Genomic DNA, 25,802 nt, shown 5'->3' on the forward strand with positions numbered 1-25,802 from the left:
GAAGTCTTTTATCTCCCTCTTCCCTCTTTTTCTTTCCATGCCCCTTTCATCTTTCCTATTACAAACACACAGAGAAAGCTCAAGGGAAAATACTTTGGTTTTTAAAGACTTTTCTTTTTAAAAGGTTGTGGATTTGGGTGGGGGGGAGGGGTGTGTGTGTGATGCTGGTGAATACTTTTTTTTCTCTCTCTTTTATCTCTTTTTCTAGAGAGGAGTTGCTTAAACCAATGGGACTAAAACCTGATGGGACAATAACGCCTTTGGAGGAAGCACTCAACCAGTACTCTGTCATCGAAGAGACCAGCTCTGACACAGACTAAAAGCATCACCTGCTCAACTCTCAATATTGCTTTATCAGCATCTTTTCTCTGTAGCTCCAGGGGAATCTTTTCTCTAAAACATTTATGCCCTTGCTTTGGCTAGAAACACATTAACTGGTTTACTCATTGAGAATCCAGCATATTTAAGAGGTGACCCTGTGTTTTTTGTGATATTGAGGCATTCATACAGAGCTGCAGTTAGACGGGGTTACGGGGGCTAAAAGCAGAAAAAAAATTCCATTTCATCGGGATGGAACTGAAGGATTTTATTCTATAAAGCGGCCCTGGTTGAATCTGGCAATTCTTTTTGCCAAGATCCCTAGCAGAAGATTTAGCCATGTCCTTCCCCTCACTTGTGTGAGTGGCCCCTTCTGAATCTCTCCAGCAGCCAGAGGCACGTGAGAAGCAGAAAGAGCTGGTAAATAAAGCCTTGGGCAAGCGACTTCTTAGATCAGAACTCACCAAATGGAAGCCTAGCAGCTGCTCCATAAACCTAGCCCCATTCTTCATATCAATTTTGTATAAATATATAGAAACACACACACAGCCTCAGACTTACAAACTGATTATACTCTAAAAGTTTGTATGTCAGTTAGCTAAAACTTCAGAATACATTTCTCCCTATAAAGAGTTATAAATGATGGTTTAGTTCTCAGGCAGCTACAAATGCCTATTTATTCCCTAATGTACCTGAACACTAGTACCATAGAACTGAACCACCATCTGTATCAGCGCATGGGGAGTGTGCATTCTGAGGTCTAACCCGGGGTGCCAGGAACACACACATCCTCCATCCCAGCATAGAGAATGGGGACTCCCTGAGTAATGGGAGTTCTTTCATGGCCTCTGCTTGGGGTGGGGGAGTCAGCAGCACCCATTTGTACATATAGGTCATTCATACATCACATTTTAAATTGGGGACTGTGTGTGCTGGTGTGTGTGTGAGTTCTACGTTTCTACCATATGTGATCAGTTTAATAGTAACTTTATTTATTTAAAAAAAAGAAACACAATTAGTTACTGTTAAACTGATAAAGGGTGTTTATTTTTACTTTTAGAATTGGTCCTATGAAGAAGTAGAAAGTGAGTCATGCACTAGACAGTGGGCCTAGCTCATCAGTGGCTAAAGTTGAAAAGGGGTTGGTTTCCTGTATATATATGTATGTATATACACACGTACATACATTCATATATATACATATATACATAATGTGCTTAACCACTGCCTTTTAAAACTTTAAATTAAATAAAACATTGGGGTTGATTCAATTTGGCCATCTGTGTGTGTTTCTTTATAGATACATGGGCTAAACAATACTATTTCACAGTTTATGCTTTTTTAAAGTGCTTTTACATCCATGGTCCCACTTCTAATAGCCTTTTTAAGGACAGGTAGAGTACATGGAGGGTTACTGAAAAGGTCATTTATCCAGAAGTTACCTCTCTGGCAAAGCAAAAAAATCAGGAATTACGTCTTAAAGGCCTTTCAGCTGCCAGAGGAGATGTCACAAAGTTTCTTGCAACTTACTTATGGGAGAGATCTTCAAGAATATCACTCTTAGACTCTGAACTGAAATTTGCATACGCTTCCAACATGTTTTATTAGCTGGCTTTGAAGCTCACAAAAGAATGGCAAAGAAAGAGGCTGCTAGATTGAAGGCAGGCATACTGAAAGAAGAAAAAGGCCAACTGAAAACTAGATAGTGAGATGAGAAGAATAAAACTTCAAGACATAGCAAATCTGGGACTGTCTACTTACCAAAGGATACTCTAGTTGACCCAGAAAATGTGTGTACAACAGTATGGCCCGTAGACTACTTCCTATAATGGTGACCCTGAGTTTTTTTAAAAGAAGAAATTAAATCCAGAACGCTTTATAAAAGGGTAGGAAGAAGACAATAGATGTTAGAATTTCATCCAAAATGTTTGAGGGAGAGGTGAGTGACCCAGGTTTTAACCAACAGCAAAAGAAATGGGCAATTCATAATTTTAGATTAAGTGAAAAGTTTAGAAAAAATTTAAGTATTTTTGTTATTCTACAAATGCATTTTTAAAGTATTTTTATAATTTCTATAATCAAATAGCTTTGGCATGCATGTCAGCTTACCTAAATGAAGATGTGTTTAATGAAATGCCATCTTACCAGCTTTCTTTATGCAGAGTAAGTGTTTGAACAGTCCTGTTTCAGTAGCTGTGCTCTTCTGCTTTCAGTGAGTTCTGTTTCATTTTGCATTTCTCTGCACTGGGCACTAAGCTTTGTTTTTGAAAAGAGAGTTTGCGGGGAAGAAGATGAGAGTGTCTTCATCTGGCACACAGAAAGAGAACTAATATCTGTTAAGTGCTTACTACATGCTGGGCTTTTGATGTATGTTATCTCATGTAACCTCACCTTATCGCATATGAAAGATCCTCTCCAGAAAGCTTATGAAAGTTACCCCACGTCACAGCAAGGAAGAGTCCAACTCTGGTGGCCTGACTCCCAGCACCACTCCTTCCTTTTCCCCACAGCACACCTGGGCCCACACTGTGCCTCCTTAGGGCTCTGAAATGCTGGGAACAGAGTGGTGTGAGGAGGGTGGTCATTCTCAGGCCATTTTAAGCAATAACTATTTCAACAGAACTAGTTTAAAGAGGTTTTTAAGCAGGGAAGTGACCTGAAGTGGAAGTATGAGTGGGAAACTTGCATGGTCAGCACTGGATTTCCAATGAAGACCTGGAATCCGTTAGGATAGGCCAGGGACCAAGGCTGCAGGCTGGCCTCTCTGCCCACAACTCTCCTGACCTTGGAAGCAGGGTACGGAGGCGTGTGTCCTAAAATAAAGCATTTGAGCTGCTGCTACAGAGGAACAATCACCAGATATTGTGACCCTTTCAGATGCCCAGTAGTCCTGGGAGGCAGGCAGGGCAGGTGTTATTATCCCTTCTTTATAAATGAGGACACAGAATGAGGCAGTACAAGTGACTCTAAACACCCCCTTAGTGCCACATCAGTCTCGCCACCTCCCAGGACTAGGTGTCACCTGTATTGACCTCTTCCCCTCTGATTATAAAAGTAATATATGTTCATTGTGGAAAGTTTGGAAAATGCAGAAAATAAAATTAATAATTTACCCCAAATCCCACCATCCTGAGATCATCACTGTTAATGTTTTAGTGTATTTCCTTCCTGTATTTTTTCTATGCATATATAATTTATTTTACTACAAGATTGGGATCATGCTGTATTTACAGATTTGTATCCTGCTTTCTTTAACATATTGTGAGCATTTTCCCATGTCAATAAATATTCTTCAAAAAGTAATGGCTATATGATATTCCATTATGTGAATTGTGGCAGACACTGCTAGTTTCCTTCCCAATATTCTTTCTAACAGAAGACATCATGACCACCACGCCCATAAAAAAAAAAAAAAATTTAAAAAGGTGGTGCCTGCTGCCTTTCTAGAAGGCAGCATGAGTTGTTAGTGCTGAAGAGCAGCAGGAACTAGGGGTGGCACCAGGAGGAGCAGGCTTGCTCTGCCACACAGCAACAGTCTCACAGAAGCCTCGGCAGCACAAGTCAGAACAGCTAGAGTAAGTGCCCCGATAACTATAGTTTTTGTCAAGAAGAGTTATTTGAAGGGAGCGAGGGAGCCAGGTGACTTAGAAAAGTGCATTAAAAAAAAAAAAGACGTCAACCATGTTTAGTGTTTAGTCCAGTTATTCGCATTAATTTTCTTGGAGATATTCACTGCAGTTCCAGAAGTGGAGAACACACAGGGTTGGGGAGTGATGTGTGACTCTCAGTTTTGAAAAGCAAGGTAACACGTGTCAGAATAGGTGTGTGATAAGCACGATATGGAGAACAAACTGTTCAAGGAACAAATTATGGGTGAGGAAGGGAGATATTTGTAGCAACTATGAGAAGGTTTAAGGAAAGGGAGAGGTATCTAGAGAGGACTTTAAGTGGTTTGACTCTGAGCACTGTGTTGAGTCCCTGCACCAGGTCTCCAGGTCTAAGAAACATCAAAGAATATCAGAGCAGCCTTTCTTAAAGCGGAGGGGACTGGAGATCATGAAACCTACATGCCCTGAATTGTAGACAATGAACATACTCTCCCGTGCATCTAGAACAGTGTAAGTTATGTAACATTCTGAGAACTGAGAAAATAGTCACTCCAGTCACTTTCTGTGTTCTGTGGTCCAGATGAAACCTGGTTGAAAAAGGCTCTTCTAAGAGAAGAGATCAAAATTATTCTCCAAGGCTTCTGGAGTCAGATTTGCGTTTTCTTTTAGTGCAGCACCATGAAGATCCTAAGCCCTATCCTGCAGCTATATCCAGATCTCAGAGACCTTTACCTTTTCGGCACTGAACTTCACAATAAGAGCTGCAAGTATTTGTTGAGCAATCACTGTGCCAAGCACTTGAAGTTAGACTGTGCACTAACATGCATGGTGTAAGAAGTCCATAACCAAAGTCTGTACTGTGCACTGACATGCACAGTCTAACTTGAAAACAATCTTGAGAAGTAAGCACTATTATAATAGCTTCCATCCACTTTTCAGATGAGAAAACTAAGACATAAAGGTGTTAAGCACTGTGTGCAAGCACACAGCCCTCTCTATTTGCTTATTAATTGATACACATAGCAAAATTTGAACTCAAGCCTGATGCCAGAGTCCATATAAATACTATGCTTCGAATGTATTGCTTCTGCAATCAGAAAAATGCAATAAAATCTTGCTTATTTGGAAGAAAAGAATGTCAGAAGAGACAAATGGGAAAAACAGAATTGGGAAAACAACACATTTTTCTTACTTCATTTCCATATCACACATTTCTTATCTAGCTCCCATTCAGGAACTAGTCTCAAAGATAAATCTATAGTCCCAAGCACACCAATCCATATCAATTTGTTCAATTAACATTGATTGAGCATTGACTATGTCCCAGGTACTCGTCAATGTGCTTGGGTATACAAACATAACTGAAAGGTCCTATCCCCTGAATACCCACAGTGTAAGAAGTCCATAACCAAAGTCTGTACTGTTACAGGCTGCCAGGATGAGGTATGGCTAATGCTGGCCAGGAGGATTGCGGGGGGTGAATAACAAAGTTTTGTAGGTAACATATGCGTTTTCCATCCACTGGAAAAAGGCTGTTGCTACCAAAAGAACTGGGTCAAACACAAGCTCATGGGCAAAAGGTTTACAGAACACAAGTTGTTGAGTATGATGGAAACAGCTATCCCATGTCTCGTGATTGGACACATGAGCAGCAGCCTTTCAGGCATGAAAAGGACCCCACCAGGAAGAGCACTCTGGCTGCCGTATAGAGAATGGATTGATGCAGGGACAGACAGAAGAGACCAGACAGAAAGCTGTTGCCTCTACCTGGGAGGGGCAAGTAGGGCCTGGATTAGAACACTGGCAGTAGACGTAGAAAAGGGGATGGACTCAAGAAATATTTCAAAGATAAAAGAAACACACTTTGATCTTGGAGAAAGGCAAGAAAGAGCTCATTTAACTCATGAGAATGAGAATGTTCGGAGAAAAGATCATCTGAACCATTGGCTCCTAACCTGTGAACTAAACAACTCTGGGTTTGGGAGTAGGAGAATAGAGTTAAGAGTTAATTCAAGGAGTCTGCAAATGTGTATGGTCACCAAACATTATTTATATACCAAATAAACAATGCCTTGGACATGCAAGTACTCCTATTGTACAAATACTTATATATATACATGTTGACATGATAAAAGCTTATTTATATAAGTTATTACTGCATTCTTAGTATCCTTTTGCCCATCTATTTTCTCAGTTAAAGCACGATAAGCCACTATTATGCGAAAGGAGACCCTGGAAAGTTCAGACTTTAGAAAAAGAAATTCTCATAATTGAAAAAACTTATAACTCTTAGTAAAAAGTATCAGAAACTCAAATTGAACTAGCTTGGTAATGGAAGAACATGTGTCTTTTGTAAAGAAAGGAGGAGATGAACAACCAAGCTGTGGAAAGAATGGAGTGGGGTCTCGGTCACAGCTGAGACCTGAGTCTTATTTACAGGAGGAGATAAAGGGATTTATAAAATCCATGTTCAGTGATGTCATGATGGTAACTTGAAGTCAACTGTGGTGGGAATGTTGACACCACGTGAATCAGCAAACACCACAAATTAGAGCTTTTATTCCCCTGGAGAGCCAATTAAACATTTACCAGCAGTCACTGTAGTATACCCTGCAGAACCCCAGAATGGCTTGGGAATCAGAAATACCAGTAACATCTGCAAATAAGGGTGTGGGTAGGCTTTAAAACAGGCAAATTCCACTCTGCCACCAGCCCCTCCCACACACACACACTTGCAAGCATGTGCATGCAACCAGGTGACTCCCAATCCACCTCCCCAGCATAAGCCAGGAGTTTCACTGAGGAAGTTAATTCAAAAGGCTCTAGACCCTCAGACTCAGGCATAGAAGAAGAAAGGGAGATTCTTACTGAAAATGAGAGTCAGGTAAGAGACCACACATTGAATCACCGGATCTTCAGCCTCCTTCCCTAGTCAGCTCTAAGAACACTGGCAGCCAGGACTCTTCTAGCTGAGAAAGCTGACCCAAAAGAAGAGATATAGAGAATGAATATTAGGAATCCTCCAATGAAATGCCCAGATCCTAGCCTTTTCACAGTCACTCAAGCCACCATTCATTCATTCATTCAACAAATATACACTGAGTGCTAATATCCCAAGCACTGCAGAAGGTGCAAAAGACACAACCGTGAACAAAACAAAGACCCTGACTTCATGGAGCTTTCATTCTTCTGGAGAAAGACAACAAATAAATCTAAACAGCATACTGTGCTGTCACATCAAGTGACGATAAGTCCATTGGAAACAAAAGCAGAGTAAGGCCCAGGTGGAAGTTTTATAAAGGGTCATCAGGGAAAGCCTCTCTGATAAATTGTTTTTTGAGCAGAGACCTGAAAGAAGCGGGAGGAAAAAAGCCGAGTGAACACTTAAGAGATGTTCTCTTCTGGCAGAGGACCCAGCAAGTGCAAAGGCCCTGAGGCAGCAACAATCCGGATATGACGGGAATGGCAGGGTGGCCAGTGCAGCTGGGACAAAGGAAGAAAGGGGGAGGGAGACAGGAGATGGTCAGAGAGAATGAGACCACATCACGCAGGCCTTGGAGAAGACACCCATTGGCTCACACCGAGCTCTCAATCAGGTTTTCTGTGTCTCACTCGTCCATATGGAGGGACAGTCCACAGGGTCTAGACCTTTGAGGAAATCCTCTCGCATGAAAAACAGAGGCCAAAACAAACCAAAAAAACAGGGAGCCAAAGAAAATGTCTACGAAACCACGATTAATTATCATAGACTTCAGCTCTATTACAAGAAAAGAGCAGAACAATAAGCAAGAACTAAAAATAAATAAACCTAGAGCTGAACAAGGGAATTAAATAAAATAGAATTAACTGATAAGCAGTACGCTGGGTAGTGGTTCACTTCATTATAAAGTGCAGTCATGAACCACCTAATGACATTTCAGTCAACAATGGGCAGTGCATATGCCCACGGCCCTATGAGATTATAATGGAGCTGAAAAATTCCTGCAGCCTAGGGACATTATCGCCATCGTATCATCGTGGCTCAACGCATTACTCATGAGCTTGTGATGCTGCTGGTGTAAACAAACCTACTGTGCTGCCAGGCCTATACAACTATCACGTTTAATTATGTACAGAAGGCTGGGTGCAGTGTCTCATGCCTGTAATCCCAACACTTTGAGAGGCCAAGGCAGGAGGACTGCTTGAGGCCAGGAGTTCAAGACCAACCCTGGCAACATAGCGAGACCCTGTCTCCACAAAATATTTTTTAAAAATTAGCCAGGCATGGTGGCACACACCTGTGGTCCCAGCTACCCAGGAGGCTGAGGTGGGAGGATTGCTTGAGCCTGGGAGGTTGAAGCTGCCTTGAGCCATGGTCATGCCACTGCACTCCAGCCTGAGTGACACAGTGAGACCTTGTCTCACACACACACACAAAAAATTATATACAGTACATAATACTTCATCATAATAAATAACTATATTACTGGCTTATTTACTGTATTATGCTTTCTATCATTAGAGTGTACTCCTTCTACTTATTTTTTAAAAGTTAATGATAATGCAGCCTCAGGCAGGTCCTTCAGGGGGTATTCCAGAAGGCATTGCTATCACAGGAGATGACAGCTCCATGCATGCCATTGCCCCTGAAGACCTTCCAGTGGGACAGGATGTGGAGGCGGAAGACAGTGATACTGGGGATCTTGACCCTGCGTAGGCCTAGGTGTGTTTGTGTCTTAGTTTTTAACAACAAAGTTTTGTTTTGTTTGAGACGGAGTCTCACTCTGTTGCCAGGCTGGAGTGCAATGGTGCAATCTCAGCTCACTGCAACCTCTGCCTCCCGGGTTCAAGTGATTCTCCTGCCTCAGCCTCCTGAGTAGCTGGGACTACAGGTGCACACCACCATGCCTGGCTAATTTTTGTATTTTTAGTAGAGACGGGGGTTTCACCGTATTGGCCAGGCTGTTCTTGAACTCCTGACCTCGTGATCCATCTGCCTTGGCCTCTCAAAGTGCTAGGATTACAGGCGTGAGCCACTGCGCCCTGCCACAAAAAAGTTTTTAAAAGTAAAAAAAAAAAAAAAAAAGAAAAAATTTTAAAAATGGGAAAAAGCTTATAGAATAAGAACATAAAGGAAAATATTTTTGTACAGCTGTACAATGCATTTATGTTTTAAGCTAAGTGTTATTACAAGAGTCACAAAGTTAGAAATTTAAGTTTATAAAGTAACTAAGTTACAGTAAGCTAAGGTTAATTTTTCTTGAAGAAAGAAAACATTTTTTAATGAATTTAGTGTAGCCTAAGGGTACAGTGTTTACAAAGCTTACAGGAGTGTGCAGTGATGTCCAAGACCTTCCCATTCACTTGCCACTCACTCACTGACTCACCCACAGCAACTTCCAGTCCTGAAAGCTCAACTCGTAGTAAGTGCCCTGTACAGGTGGACCATCTTTTATCTTTTATACTGTACTTTAACTGTACCTTTTCTATGCTGAGACATGTTTAGATACACAAATCCCTCCCATTGTGTTACAGTTGCTTACAGTATTCAGTACAGTCACATGCTGTACAGGTTTGTGTCCTAGGAGGAACAGGCTATGCCATCTAGCCTAGGTGTGTAGTAGGCAAGACCATCCAGGTTTGTGTGAGTACACTCTGTGATGTTCACACAATGACAAAATCACCTAATCACAAGATTCTTAGAACGCTTCCCTCTTGTTAAGGGCTGCCTGACTGTATACTTGAGTCTCTCAGAAAAACCAATAACATACTGAGCTAGACACCGAGCATAAATATCACAAATATTGTGTGAAATTGGACAGTACCTGGGAGCAATCCAGCTCCAGGAGGGTCAGAAAACTGAAGCCAGAGTTTCAGGCTTCTTACACTTCCTGTGTTTCCACTTTGCTTTCCTTTGTTTTTAATTTGTTTTAATTTTGTTTGTAGAGACAAGGCCTCCCTATGTTGCCAGGTTGGTCTCGAACTCCTGGGCTCAAGCAATCCTCCTGCCTCGACCTCCCAATCCCTTATTTTTTTAGTAAGTTTTTGTTTTTTTAAGTTCTCACCAGTCTTGACTGTGTTTAGGAGAGGTGTGGAAAGGGAGTTTTTTTCTAACTGGTACAAAACGGCCTGGAGTTTTTCTAAGCTTGCACAAAAAGGCTTGCTATCATCATAACCATCATCGTTATCATCATCATCATCATCATCAGACAAAGCCGTAACAGCAGGAACTGAACTGTGAGAACATGCTGAAGGTAGAACTCAGGAGAACAGAGGGTCTCAGTACTATATTAGCAACTCTATCCTCTGGAGAATCTTCTTTCAGAGTTAGATCTTAGAGATCCTCATTTATATTTTATTTGTAAAGTCCAGCCTTCCTTTTCATTACCCCTGCTACATCTGCAGCCTGTTACAAACCTTACACTTTTTTTAAACTGTAAAAAGTGTTGCTTTCTCCAATGCAAAGCAGGAGATAGACAGACTCTCAGGAAAGAAGATGTATGTAATTATTACATGCATTATCTCACTTAAGGCTTCCAAGGATAGGAAAGGACCTTGTAACTGATGAGAAATTGAGGTTCAGAGAGATAAAATCACTTGTTCAAAGGAAGTGAGCTAGCGTTTCACAGAACAAGGATTTCATAGTTATCTGTATGACCCTCAAATTATGTTTTTAGTTACTAGATCACACTGTCTTATGAGATGATTTAGAGTCAATTCTTAAGAAACCTGTGCTAAACAATTACTCTCTTTGATTTGGCAGGCTGGCAAGAAGGGAAGAAAGGGAGGGGAGCGAAGGTAGGGGAGGGAGGGGAGGGGAAGGGAGGAAGAAGAGGGGAGGGGAGGTAGGGGAGGGAAGGGGAAGAAGAGGAGGGGAGGGGAGGAAGAGGAGGGGAGGGGAGGAAGAGGAGGGAAGGGGAGGGAAGGAAGAGGAGGGAAGGGGAGGGAAGGAAGAGGAGGGAAGGGGAGGGAAGGAAGAGGAGGGGAGGAGAGGAAGGGGGAGGGGAGGAGAGGAAGGGGGAGGGGAGGAGAGGAGGGGAGAGGAGGGGAGGAAGGGGAGGGGAGGGGGAAGGGGAGGAAGGGGAGGGGAGGGGGGAGGGGAGGGGAGGAAGGGGAGGGGAGGGAGGAGGGGAGGGGAGGAAGGGGAGGGGAGGGAGGAGGGGAGGGAGGGGAGGGGAGGGGAGGGAGGGGGAGAGAAGCCATCATCAACCAGTCTCCATTTCTCACCTGCAAGTTCTCAGGAATAAGAATAACAAAATGTAATAAGTTACTCTGACAGTTGATGCACTAAGGGCTTTGTATGATTAATCTCATTTTAGTCCTCACAACAACCTTGTATCATCCCACTGCTTTTATTCCTAATGTACTGATGGGAAGTGGTGGCTGAGCTTAGGTCACTTAACTACTTAGCAGTAGATTTGGAATCAAAAGCAGATTGGCAGATTCTAAGCCATGCCCTCTACCCACCAAAGGACTCAGCACCCTCATCCAATATGCCTCTTCTTCATGCATCTCTATCTAGGGACACTTTCTAAGCATCCCTTGATACCATTTCTAGTTTCGAATGTGAATGTCTTGGAAAACTGTCTAGCTGTCCATGTAGCCCACATAGCATATCCTGGGGCTCCACCTCCTGGTTCGGAATCAGTTTCATCAAATATTTTCCTTGACCATTGAACACCTGCCAGATTCACATCCCGCACATGAGCTCATTGACTGCCCATAGTGGAGTTGGGTGGTGCAAGTTTCTCCACTGCCATCCTTATTTCAGACTGGGGTCCTGTGGCTCGGAGAGGTTGTGTTAATGGAGCTAGTGCACTGGAAAGCCACGACTTGAGTCCAGCTCTTTGGATTCCACGTCTCAATTCTTTGTATCATGTAGACAGCTGGTTCTCAGGAGTGGATAATCCAGCCCACCTCATTCCAGTTGCATTAGAAACTTGGTCCTATTTCCTATGGCTCAAATCCTCTTCTCAAGCCCTACTTCCTTTCCCAGAGGTGGAGCCTGGTTCACACTATAAGAGGCAGTAACCCAGGGGTGGGGGCTGCACAGGAGGGGGTGGCAAGGGGACACCTTTTGACCATCAATCTGAATATGGTATGTTTCTTTCTGCTACCTCTAATCCCTCACCATAGTCCCAACAACCATCATATCCATTTATCTTCAAAATCACTCAGAGAGTGTCCCCTTTGGAAGAGCAACCACTTCCATTGCCTGCCCTACCAGCATATCTGTTCCAACCAGACCCTCTGCTCCTGGCCAGACCCAGCCATCCCAGACACACACCAGGTAGCTGTCAGGCAGCCTTCCGCATTTGGAAGTTTTTCAGCAAACATAATAAAAGTTTCCTTTCCACCAGGGTTGGGAAAAGCATCCCATCCTGAAAGACCAGACCACAAGCCTCTTAGTCTTAATACTTACTGAAACAGAAGTAAAAAGTAAAAAGGGCTTCTTAGTCTGGGGGCACCATTCTTGGCCTGGCAAACTTATTTCCCATGCTCTTCACTGTAGAGAGAGGAGGGAGTTGGAGACGGAGTGTGTGGGTTGGTAGGAGCTACCCTCTCCCTGTTTTTCTTGGTGTCAATTAGCATAATTTAAAAGGCAAGGGGAAAAACCTGATATCTATGTGACTGCTTTCGCTTTAAACTTGTCCGACTTTGGAGGCTGATTATGGCCAAGTGACCCATATTTTAAAAACATTTACAATAAAATGATGCATTTTCTTTTTGTGCCATCAGCTTCCCTGATGAAAGGCAGAAATGCTTTAAAATTGTCCCTTTTTGTTAGCAGTAATGGCTGTGCTATATTTCAGCTCATCCCCCTCGTGGGCATAGAAAGGGAAGGGTAATAAAGGGCACAGCTGTAGACACTTTATGGCCTGCGTGGGGGGTGGGGTGGGGGAAGGGGAGTGGAGGCAAGAAACAGATTGACTGTGTGTCAACAAATGCAGCTGGGAAAGAGAAAGCTCTTGAAGACCTCTGCCACTTAAAAGTCCTGGATAAATGATGTTCCTATTTGGAAAGGAAAAAAATGGAGGTGAAATTCAATAAAGGATGGCTGAAAAGAGAAGGGTTCCAAAGGCCTTTCTCTGCAGCTAGGCAGCTCCCAAGAGAAATGAGCAAAAGTGGCCGTAGGCGACAGTGAGTGGGAGGGGGGCTGCAGCCCAAAGAGGCAACAAAGGCCCTTCCCGGCCAATGCATTACGACGCCAGGGTTGGCCAAGCCGGGCCCTCATGAGCCCGGCCAAGTTGGGGGTGGAAATGGTCGAGTTGAAAGAAATGCCCCAGGAAACCCTGACACAGTTATGTTTCAGGGCGTGCTCATGCCTTGCATTTGAGAAAGAAAAAGGCAGAAAATAGATGACCCCTTAGGGCAGAGGCTGAGTCAGGTTATGATAGAAAAAACATTGCTCTGGGGGTCAGGAGACTTAGATCGAGCCCCACCTCTGGCACTGACCAGCTTTCTGAGGTAAGCATGTCCACGAGCAGTGTCAGTCCTGGATCTGCAGGCCCTTGATTGGTGATGAAAACTTGCCCTTCCAGCGTCTCACTGGAATCTCACCAACACCCTGGAAAGCAAGTTGGGATCCTTGGCCCCGCCATCTGCACATAAGAAAACGAAGTCTCAAGGAGGGAAAGTGCTTGCCGAGGGTCACACAAATAACAAATAGAAGAGACAGTCTTCATCTCCAGGAGAATCCCTTCCTTCCTTTTCCATTCCATTGGCCTCGGCGAATGGGGAGAGAAGCTTTCCTTCATGAAAACCCCATAAGGAAAGCCTCTAGGAGGATGTAGCCGCATCTTCTGGGGACCAGCACTTCCCACAGAGGTTGCTGGGCACCAACTCTAAACCAAATTATATCTGTTAGAAAGCAAGAAGCGGCCAGGTGCGGTGGCTCATGTCTGTAATCCCAGCACTTTGGGAGGCCGAGGCAGGTGGATCACGAGGTCAGGAGATTGAGACCATCCTGGCCAACATGGTGAAACCCCGTCTCTACTAAAAACGCAAAAATTAGCCAGGCGTGGTGGCGGGCACCTGTAGTCCCAGCTACTCAGGAGGCTGAGGCAGGAGAATCCCTTTGAACCCGGTAGGTGGAGATTGCAGTGAGCGGCGATCACACCACTACACTCCAGCCTGGGTGACAGAGCGAGACTCTGTCTCCAGAAAAAAAAAAAAAAAAAAGCAAGGAGCAGAAACCTCACTCAGTCTGGCTTATATAAGAAGCGAATCTCACAACATCTGGAAGCCCAGAGGGTTGATCTAGCGGCTCCACGCTGGTAAGGAAGCATCGCTCTGCTCCATCACTGCAGAGAGAGCTTCATCCCGAAACCCATAGCCAAATGGCAGAAGTTCCAAGCATAACATCCAGACATGACAATAGCCAAGAAGATCGCCTTTCCCTGCAACTCCCTCTTAAGAGTAAGAAACCTTCCCAACAGACCTCCTGAAGACTCTTTGGACAGAATTGGGTCATCTGCCCATTCCTGAACCAATTATCAAGGGAAATGGGATCACCCTTAGTTAATAAAAGCCTTTACATGGAACTAGGGCTCAGGTCAGCTCTCCCTGAAGCCCATGGTGAGGAGTGGAGATGTGAGAAAATAGGATTCTGCTGGAAAGAAAGTTGTAGAAACAAATTTTGGATATACAACCAATAGTGACCACTGAACCAACAGCATCCACTAAAGAGGTTTGAGAACTACATGGCTCTGACTATGTACCTGTTGGAATGGCTAAAATAAAGATGAAATGTGCCCCCAAAATGAGACAATGCATATTAAGTGCTTAGCATAACACCAGGCACATGGTAAGCAATCAATAAATACTATCTGTTATTATTATTGTTATTATTATTACCGAGATGGAGTTTCACTCTTTGTTGCCCAGGCTGGAGTGCAATGGCGTGATCTTGGCTCACCGCAACCTCCACCTCCCAGGTTCAAGTGATTCTTCTGCCTCGGTCTTCCGGAGTAGCTGGGATTACAGGCATGTTCCACCATGTCCAGCTAATTTTATATTTTTAGTAGAGATGGGGGTTTCTCCATGTTGGTCAGGCTAGTCTCAAACCCCCAGCCTCAGGTGATCTGCCTGCCTTAAGCTCCCAAAGTGCTCGGATTACAGGCGTGAGCCACCACGCCCGGCCAAGAGTCTGCATTTCTAACCAATCACAGCTGAAAGCAGTGATACTGGTCTGCAGACCACACCTTGAGAAGCAAGGCTCTAGGTCTCAGGGAAAGCATGAATCAGAGGAATTGGAGAGAAATGGAGGGGAGGGGTTCTCCCACAGGTGGTGGGAACAAATCTAGAGTGTAATGTTCCAAAACTGTTATCAGGTCTGCATTTAAAGTTGGTGTCACTTAAGAAACATAGGTTACAAAATGACTGGTTACCACATATTAACAAGAATTAGACAAGCCTGGACTATACTATTGTGATTAAAACAACAAACAAATAGGTAGGGTGTTTTTAAAACACTCAATTGCTCTGCCGTCTTATTAAACACATGGCCTTATGAGGTAGATTTTAGCATTATCCCCATTTTACAGAGACTTCGATGAATTTGCCCAAAGTCACCCAATCAGCATAAGTGACTAAAACCAGATCAAATTTCCAGCTTGTCTAACTCTACATTTTTTTTAATCTTTCAAGCTTTTATTTAAGTGCAATGATCCAGAATGGAATTTAGATCTTGTTGAAAGCAGCCACATCCATGGGCTATACATAATCCTGAAAAGCAGCGATCTGCTCCTCCAGCATATCTGTTCCAAATTTATCATCTTCAACCACACACTGTATTTGAAGTTTCTTAAATCTGTATCCCACTGGAACTAGTTTAGATGAGCCCCAGACTAAGCCATCTGCTTGAATGCTTCTGACTCACTCCTTTCATTTTGCCATATCTGTCTCATCATCCCAAGGTTTCATGTCTAAGATGGAAGACTTGGCAACAAGTGCAGGTTTTTTTTCTTTTAGGTTTGATGATCCTCTCTAATTTTTGCACTTATCATGTATTTTTTCTTCTATTGATCTTATTTTACTTTTTTTTTTTTTATGGAGTCTCTGTCACTCAGGCTGGAGTGCAGTGGCACGATCTTGGTTCACTGCAACCTCTGCCTCCCGGGTTCAAGCAATTCTCCTGCCTCACCCTTCCGAGTAGCTGGGATTACAGGCACCCACCACCACGCCCAGCTAATTTTTGTATTTTTAGTAGAGACGGGGGGTTTCACCAAGTTGGTCAGGCTGGTCTCAAACTCCTGACCTCAAATGACCCACCCACCTTGGCCTCCCAAAGTGCTGGGATTACAGGCATGAGCCACCGCGCCTAGCCTTAAGTGCAAGTTTTTTGGCTTTCTTTGATTCATATTGTGCAAGGTGTTTGTTCTTCCCTTAACCTCTTTGCTTCTTCACTTTCCTCCTCATCAGATCCAAGGAGATCAATTTCATCATCATCTTTACTATTTGTAGCTCCACTTCCTGTAGTGTCTTCCACCTTAGCAGGACCATACCTGCCCACAGCTTTCTTCACTCCTGGCAGGCTGGCCTTTTCCTTTTCATAAGACTTGATCTGATTATACCAACATAGGGCATGACACAAGTCAGCAGGCGGTGGGCCGGACACTGCTTCATAGACTGCCACACGTGCTTGTGATGGCACATACCCTCGATGTAGCTCTTGTCCACCAGGTAATCGTTGAGCACCTGGAGGCTAGCCGGGCTTTTCAGATCTCTGAAACCCATGGCGTCATCGGCTGTATCCAAGAGCTGGGAGCAGCAGAAAGAGCGCAAGTTATGGGCACCCTGCGCTGAGAGAGGAAGAAGCTACGTTCTTTTTTTTATTCCTCTAACATTTTATCACCCAAGCTTCCACTCTCCAGCAGAAAAATAAGTAACCTTGTTTCATCTGTAGACCTAGAACCCGTCTTTGACTGACTCTTGCTCCCACTTGCTACAGCAGGACCCTAGTTACAACAATCCCCAAAGTGCTTCTGGAAATCCCCATAAAGTATGTTGCATGGATTCACAAAATTAAGATAGCCATCTGTAAAGCTTAAGCTATATATATCCAGGTCGGTGTTGTTTCAATATTTCTTCCTCCACATCCTCACGCCCGTACCTAATATCCAGCCATACTTTTCTAATCACCATTCCTAGAACATCTGACGCACCTGTTATACCTGCCCAAGCTCCTCTTCACTGATGAATCCCAACGTCTCTGCTTGGTGAACTCCGCTTTCAAAATCCATCTCAAAGTCCCCTCCTCTGTGAAGTTAAGAGTGCCTAGAAAAAATAAATCAGTGATTTTTTTCCTTCCATTGTGTCTTATTAATGAACATGTTTTATAAAGTGCCTGCCAGGAGCCAGAGTATGAGGATTAAAATGAATTAATAACGTAGAGCTTAGCTCAATGCCCAGCACCCTAAAACCACTGCATAGGAGTTAGTTATGATGCCGATGATGACGGTGATGATGCTGCCAGTGCGTCTCAGAGAGAGAAAGGACGAACGCACAACCCGGGATCCAAGGGGCCTGGAAGCTGCTGAGAAAGGCCCTCAGGAAATCCCAATACCGTGCAAATTGAGCTTTGTAATAAGGCACAGGGCACTTTTGGATCACACGGACGGGATTCTTATCCAGCCTAGGTTCTGCAAGAGATCAAAAAAGTTCCTCCAAGGAGTGGGCATAGAAGGGAGCAGTATAAATAAAAATAAATGCACATTCCAAGAAGCTGCTAAAGCTCTAACCTTTCCGGACTACGCTTTGGAAGTGCCAGTTTACACCAGGCTCGACAGTCGAGCCACTTGGATCCGAGAGCCCATGGTCCAGCTGGACCACCCAGCCTGCTCAGGACACCCGCCTCGCGAGTGGAGCGCTAGGATTCAGGTCCAGATCTGACTGGGAAGCTTCCGCAGGGAATTCCGCCCCGGACCCCTGGAGACCCACATCGTCCGGTGTGTTTTCCTTTCACAACACTTCCCACAGCCTGTAATTACATGATTATATATTTGGGGGCATGTGTTTACTGTCTGTCTCCCTGACTGGGCTGTCAGCGTTTTGCTCACCACTGGATTCTCAGGGCTCCGCACTCAGGAAAGGTTCAGCGAGGTTTGTGTTCAGGGAACTGGGGAGGGCGGGGCCGTAGCGAGGAGCAGCTGGGCCCGGCGTGGGGGTGGGCGGGGCCCAGGGAGTAGGCGGGGTCTGAGTGAGTGGCTGCTGGGCAAGGAGTCTCGGCAGGTAGCACTCTGCGGAGAGCAACCCTGAGAGTCTAAGACCCTCGGGGGTGAACAGCCCCTGTCGGATGGGTAGCCTGCTCCAGCCAGACCATCCTCCACCATGTCCACATTGAGCTTTCAGAAAATGTACATTCTAACCATTGTAGTGGCCCTTTCCCGCCTTCAGAATAAAATCCAAATCTTAAATGCAAGATTATAAGCATCTTTATTCAGTTACATTTCAAACGCTTATTATTCTGAAGGGGTTTTTTTAAAATTAAGCATTAAAAGTTACTTTAATAAAGCAACTCATGGATATGTGATAAAATTGTACAAAACTAAATACACTCACAAGTGTATGTAAAACTGTGACATCTGCATAAATTTGGCGGGTTGTATCAATGTTAATTTCCTGATGGTGATAATGTAATATAACCTTGCACGGTGTTTCATTTGCTTTATTTCTTACAACTGCATATGACTCTAAAATTACCTCCAAGTAGTTTTTTATAAATATACATATATAACAGAAAATAGTTGCCAATAAGCTATTTTTTAATACTTTCTATGTATACCTCGTGTTCCCTGAAAGGCACTTGAAGGGAAAAACCAGGTCTGATTAATTTTCATAACAGCAATAGAAGTTAATAGCTTCATACAGAGTACAAATGAATTTCTAAGAATTCTCAGGCCACAGTTCAGTGCCTAACTCAATGATTAAGCTTGTGAGACCTTTTAAGGCCCTGGGAGAGACCCTGGCAAAAGGTTCACATGATCATATATTTTTGCACAGTTTGAAAAATTAAGACATTTTAGTGGCCATCTATTAAGATCACTGTTTCTTTTCATTCTAACTTTCCTTTATCAAATTTCTCTTCCATCAGGTGACAGTGTCCTGGCTCAGGGCATTTTGGGGTCTTGCTAAGGGGAGATTGAGTTGGAAATGCTCCATTTTAATCACACTTTGGAAAGATGCTTTGGGGACTTTTCAGTAAAACAGGTGAGAAATTTGCAGTCTCCTGATGTGGATATATATGAAGGGCATCTTTTATTTTTTGCGTCTTTAAATATATTTTTGAAATCCTCTAGAAAAATTCATATAGTAAAAAAATGGTACATGAAACAAAAAGAAATAAAGATGAGCAATAAAGCCAAAGAAAATTATTCTGACACTGAGGAGCATAACAAAATCAATTTCAGGTAATACTAAAACATAATTAATTGAGAATAAGAGACACATTTTAAATAACAACAATAGTCAGGCTTTTGGATTGCTTGATAATCTAATGATAAGAGTGAATTACAGGGACCCACTAGGAATAGATTTAAACTTGCTCAATGATTTGCTAAGGAATACTAACAACTATGAAGATAATATCAAACACCTGACCCACATTATGGAGAAGACACTGAGGACTTACTGGTTATGGGTGTTATCAATTTAATGAGTCACTGTGCATTAAGCATTCACTGTGCGAGAAAACTTCAACTGCCCTGAAAACTTATAGTTCATTCACGATAGGAATTTGATACTTCCTCAAATTTGACAACAATCTTAAAAAAACTTATATCCCTTACATGTGACATTTGTTACGGAGCTGAAACAAAGAATTCCAAACTCTCCATATAAAAACAAATTATGTTTTTATTTTTATTTATTATTATTATTTGAGACAGAGTCTCTGTTGCTCAGGCTGGAGTGCAGTGGTGTCATCTTGGCTCACTGCAGCCTCTGCCTCCCAGGTTCAAGCGATTCTCCTGCCTCAGCCTCCCAAGTAGCTGAGATTACAGGCATACACCACCTCACCCAGCTAATTTTTGTATTTTTAGTAGAGACGGGGTTTCGCCATGTTGGCAAGGCTCGTCTCGAACTCCTGACCTCAGGTGATCCACCTGCCTTGGCCTCCCAAAGTGCTGGGATTACAGGCATGAGCCACTGCACCCGGCCTCCATATAAAAACAAATTATGATCAACCACACTAGGAGAGAGAGGCTGATTATCTTTCTATTTTCTCTATGGAAAATGTAACAAAATCCTTGTTTATACAAAGATGTGTCTTGGTCCATTCGGGTTACTATAACAGAATACCTTAGGCTGGGTATTTTATAAACAATAGAAATGTATTGCACACAGTTTTGGAGGCTGGGAAGTTCAAGATTAAGGTGCCAACCAACTCAGTGTCTGGTGAGGGCTTGCTCTCTGAGTCAAAGATGGCACCCTCTTGCTGGGTTCTTACGTGGCGGCAGGGACAAATGAGCTCCCTCGAGCCACTTTTATAAGGGCATGAGTCCCATTCCTGTGGGTGGGGTATCGTGATTGAATCACTTCCCAAAAACCCCATCTCTTAATACTATTACATTAGAAATTAGGTTCCAACATAGAAATGTTGCGAGGACACCAACATTTAGACTATAGCAAGGTGATTAAAGATTATGCAGCCAAATATAGTAGGAAAATGATCATAATAGAATATTTCAAATTATTAATAAAAAATATTAGGTGTTTTTCTGAATCTTGTGATGTTCGTGGTACTGGACAACTTCATAAAATTTGTATGTAAGCATTCACTTTCACGTCTAACTTGGCATTCATAGTTTTGTATTCTTTTCTTAGAGAACCAAGAACTACAGAAGCATCAGGCCTCCCAAACCTGGATCTGCCTCCATCTCTGTAATCCAAGGCTATACCTGCCTCTGCTTACCTTGTCAGCCCCAGCTTCCACCACCACCCACCATCCCCAACCACACAGACACCCAGGAATTCCAAGCACCAGCACTTCACATATGTTACCTCATTTAATCTTCACACAATAGCTAGATTCTATTTTTATTCCTACACTGACGGATTAATGGCAGAGCAGGGGTTCGAACTTAGGTAGCCAGGTTCCAGCGTCCATGCTATTAATGAGAACATTTGACTTCCTCCCATGTTGGTCACATCATCTTTAAAATTTATGAAAAACTACTAACAGTGCTAGAGTTAGAGGCATTATCATTTCATTCTCATAACAACCTCAGGAGATAGACTGAGACTCTTCACTTCCATGCAAGAAATGCTAAGGATGAATCAGTCAGGATAGGCTAGGACATGCTGCAGAAACAACCTCCACAATCTCTGCGCAACAATGAGGTTATTTCTCAACTCCTGTTCTATTTGTTCTATTTCCTTCCAGTCATGTGGCAGAAACACACCAGCGATCCTGCTGTCACAACCCAGCCTGATTGGGGCTGCTCAGATTAGAGATAAGCATGAGATGCTATGGGGAAAAAGGGACAGATGGCACCTAACCTAGCTTTGGAAGGTGAGAAAAGAGTGACAAGGATGCTTTCCTAGAGGAGCTGATACTTGAATGAGCTTTAGAATAGAGCAAAAACTAGCAAGGTGGGTGACGGGAGGAAGACTTATTTTTTTTTTTTTTTTTTTTTGAGATGGAGTTTAGTTCTTATTGCCCAGGCTGGAGTACAATGGCATGATCTTGGCTCACTGCAATCTCCGCTTCCTGGTTCAAGCAATTCTCCAGCCTCAGCCTCCTGAGTAGCTGGGATTACAGGCATGCACCACCACACCCAGCTAATTTTTTTGTATTTTTAGTACAGATGGGGTTTCACCATGTTGGTTAGGCTGGTCTCAAACTCCTGACCTCAGGTGATCCACTTGCCTCGGCCTCCCAAAGTGCTGGGATTACAGGAGTAAGCCACCATGCCCAGCCAGGAGGGAGGGTTCCCTAAGAAAAAATTACTGCCCCTAATTTACAGAAGAGAAAACTGAGGCTTCTCCAAGATCACATATCTCACCAGCAGAGGGCCAGAGATAGACTCAGTGAATTGTTTGCTCTCCCTACAATGTTGTACGTCTGTCTTGCATGCAAATGTTTCAACATGCCTCTTCTCCTACCTGAATCAGAACCCAGCCCTCCAGCCCCAGTGAGGGGGCACAAAGAGGAAAAGGAGCTGCCGCGGAAGGAAGGCATACGCCAATGAGTTCCTGGAGGTGGGGGTCTGGGGGACGAGCACGTGGGAACCAGCCTGAGCATTTGTGAGCTCTGGAACAGTCACCCTGGGCTTCCAGACCTTCATTTGAATCTTTAACGAGCTGGAATGACCTGAGAAAGAGGACTAGGAATCTACTGGGAAAACCCCAGCTCAGAGGGCCTCTGGGGAAGGAAACCTCCTCAAATCCCAGGCTTTCTGGACTCTTCTTCTAGTGCTCCTCCTTTTCCTAGGTGCGGCAGACACTGTGTTGAGTACCTGCCCAGCCTACACCTGCCTCCCTGAGAGCTGTCCCCTCACACCCACTCTCAGAACCTTCTTGGTAATGTCTGTGCCCATCCACCCCAGCCTCAGCTGAGGTGGCCCAGACAGGGAAGTAGCACAGACAGAGTGGGACAGGGAGCAAAGACTGTGTGGCTCTGAAGCGAGTAATTGCAGCGCTGAACTTTCCAGGACACCCAGCGGTAGTACCATTCTTTTTTTTTTTTTTTTTTTTTTTGTCTCCCTTAAGGCAGTTGAATGGGTTCTAGTGATGGTTCTGTTAAATTAAGTTTAGCCTAAAACTGCCTCCTTACATATTTTAAGTTCGGCCTAAAGGTTTCTCTTACCTAGTGAACTGTAACCTAACTGGATGTGTGAACAGACTGTAACCTCCTCTTGTGCCAGTCATTGAGTTTCTGCCAATCACAGGTGGCCAACTGTTCAAATCATGTTTAAATCAGGCGAATGCATGTCGTAACCACGTGGGCTGTTTCTGCACCTCCATTCCACCTTCTGTAGGTCATTTTCCTTTTTCTGTCCATAAATCTTCTTATACCACATGACTAGCTGGACCCTCTCATTGAGGGGCTGCCCAATTCACAAATCCTTCTTTGCTCAGTTAAACTATGTCAATTTTTAAATTTGTCCTCTTTCTTCCTCTTTCTTTCCCTTTCTTTCTTTCCCCTTCTTTCCCCCCTTTCCTTCCTTCCTTCCGTCCTTCCCCCCTCTCTCTCTGTCTCTGTCTCTCTCTCTCTCTTTCTTTCACCCAGGCTATAGTGCAGTGGCATGATCACAGCTCACTGCAACCTTCCACCTCAGTCTCCCAAGTAGCTGAGATTACAGGCACGTGTCACCACGCCTGACTATTTTTTGTATTTTTTTGTAGGGACAGGGTTTCACTACGTTGTCCAGGCCGGTCTCAAAATCCTGGGCTCCAGTAATCCTCCTGCCTCAGACTCCCAAAGTGCTGGGATTACAGGGATCATCCTGATGCTGCCTGTCAGATTGTGTGCACGTGTGCCTTTTCCTGGGGCATGTTTCCTAGGAATCCTCTTAAGATCCTAGAGTGATCTATGGCCCAGAAAAGGTTAAGAACTATTAAAAGAACAAAACTGGCCGGGAACCATGGCTCAAGCCTGTAATCCCAACACTGGGAGGCTGAGGTGGGAGGCTTGTTTGAGCCTGGGAGGTCAAAGCTGCAGTGAGCCGTGATTCTGTCACTGCACTACACGGGTGCATGCAGGTTCTTATTCCTGTCCCCTCTCCCTCCCTCATCTGTTTTCCAGAGGTCTCCAGTTTTGGTCATTGAGGTATCCAGACCCAATCTCAGGTGGAACAGAAACCAGAGTCTTTGGTGGCAGCTCTTGGGCCAGACCCTAATGCTCCTGATGGGTGCTGTAGTATGCACGGGCAGCAGAGAGCTGTGGAGTTTGACTTCCTGCCTGGAATCAGGTCCTTTCTAAGGCCTGAGAGTGAAAAGGGAGCTGCTTGGAGAGCCCAGGCTGACCCATTCATGGAGGGAGCCAGGGAAGTGGGGCAGAATTGGCATGCCGTCTCATTCGTTTTGAAAGAATATTGTCTATCTGTCTCCCAAGAGGTGGGCTCAGTGCAGACTCTGGAAACTGAGCCAGGATTTTAGGACATCTGGATTCCTCTCTCTGCATGGCAATAAATAAGCCCTATTCTTGGGGACACTTTGGGCATCACAAAATGATAAATAAGAAAGTCATCAGAGCCGGGCGCGGTGGCTCACGCCTGTAATCCCAGCACTTTGGGAGGCCGAGGTGGGCGGATCACGAGGTCAGGAGATCGAGACCATCCTGGCTAACACGGTGAAACCCTGTCTCTACTAAAAATACAAACAATTAGCTGGGCGTGGTGGCGGGTGCCTGTAGTCCCAGCTACTCGGGAGGCTGAGGCAGGAGAATCGCTTGAACCCAGAAGGCAGAGGTTGCAGTGAGCTGAGATTACGCCACTGCACTCCAGTCTCGGTGACAGAGCGAGACTTCATCTAAAAAATAAAAAAAAGAAAAAGCCATCAGAAGATAATAATTTTTTTATTTTTTAGAGACAGAGTCTCACTGTCACCCATGCTGGAGTACTGTGGCATGATCATAGCTCACTGCAGCCTTGAACTCCTAGGCTCAAGCAATCCTCCTGCCTCAGCCTCCCGAAGTAGCTAGGACTACAGATATGCATCACCATACCTGATTAATTTTTTTTGTGTGTGGAGACTGGGGTCTCACTAGGTTGCCCAGGCTGGTCTCAAACCCCTGGTCTCAAGCAATCCTCCCACCTTGGCCTCCCAAAGTGCTAAGATTACAGATGTGAGTCACAGTGCCCAACTGAGAAAATGATTTTTAAATGCAGGTCACATTTGTGGTTTGTGTTACTTCCTGATTTTGCTAATTAGAGCAATACACAAACCCACCACTTCCCTTTTTTCCTCCTATAGCTCTATCTATGAAAATTCTATGGTGGGCATTTTCTTCTTAGTTTTCCCCAAAGCCTAGCCAGTGTCTCTGGGACTTCAAGCAGGGGAAGAAAACCATTCTTATGAAGACAAGATTGTACAGATTTCTATTCCGGTCAAGTGTTAATACCCAAAGAGTAGTTTAACGCTTCCTTCCTCACTCCCCAGAAATCTTGTCAGCTGATCCTGGTTAGAGGCCATCCCAGACCTAAGGGCAGGAATATGGTGGCCATAAAGAGGATGGAGAAAGTTGCTAGACTGAATCAACTGTAGACTCCAGCTCCTTATGAAAAGTGGAAAGTACATGCTGGGTTACAAGCTGACCCTGAAGATGATCAGACAAGGCAAAACGAAATTGATCATCCTCGCTAACAACTACCCAGCTTTGAGGAAATCCAAAATAGAGTACTAGGCCCTATTGGCCAAAACTGGTGTCCGATATTATTGCCACTACAATGGCAAGAATATTGAATTAGGCACAGCATGCAGAAAATACTAGAGTCTGTACATTGTCTATCATTGATCTCGGTGATTCTGAGTTCATTAGAAGCATGGCAGAGAAGACTGGTGAAAAGTAAACCATACAAAATTTTGTTTAATAAAACTTGCCCAGAACTTGTTTTTTGGTTTTTTTTTTTTTAAAGAGTTCATGTCACCATTGCAAGAGACAGTTGGAATCTTCCCGTTTCCTCTGTTCTCAGTGTCACACACTGAGAACTCCTGGGTGATGATAACCTCAGAGGGGTTCTCTATCAGATGCCACCTCCATCTCAGGAAGTGATGGGGGGGAAGTTACACTGGACACTTACTGAGTACCAGGCTCTATGCTGCTTTGACACATCCAATGCAGGATTTATGATCCTCATTTTTCAATCAGGGAAACTAAGTCTCAGAGCAATAAAGCTTTCCCAGGATAACTTAGCTAGGGGTCTCAGAGTCTGCCTGCAAACCTAAGTCTGATCT

The 25,802-nt window shown here is 44.0% G+C and overlaps 1 protein-coding gene and 2 pseudogenes across 19 annotated transcripts in view; 2 read left to right on the plus strand and 1 right to left on the minus strand.

The window, feature by feature from the left end:
- The window catches only part of RIC8B (RIC8 guanine nucleotide exchange factor B), a 114,635-nt gene extending 111,014 nt beyond the window's left edge, over positions 1-3,621 (plus strand). For all 19 annotated transcript variants that reach the window (NR_147135.2, NR_147133.2, NR_147137.2 and 16 more), the window contains one exon: positions 209-3,621. Coding sequence is in view for 8 of the 19 variants with exons in the window: in NM_001351361.2 (NP_001338290.1) it covers positions 209-320 (112 nt within the window). In the remaining 11 variants the exon portion in view is untranslated. The remainder of the gene's footprint in view (positions 1-208) is intronic.
- EEF1B2P4 (eukaryotic translation elongation factor 1 beta 2 pseudogene 4) lies at positions 15,543-16,703 on the minus strand (annotated as a pseudogene).
- On the plus strand, positions 25,062-25,417 carry RPL30P12 (ribosomal protein L30 pseudogene 12; annotated as a pseudogene).

The sequence above is a fragment of the Homo sapiens genome, chromosome 12 (genome assembly GCF_000001405.40).
Source record: "Homo sapiens chromosome 12, GRCh38.p14 Primary Assembly".
Classification (NCBI taxonomy): domain Eukaryota; kingdom Metazoa; phylum Chordata; class Mammalia; order Primates; family Hominidae; genus Homo; species Homo sapiens.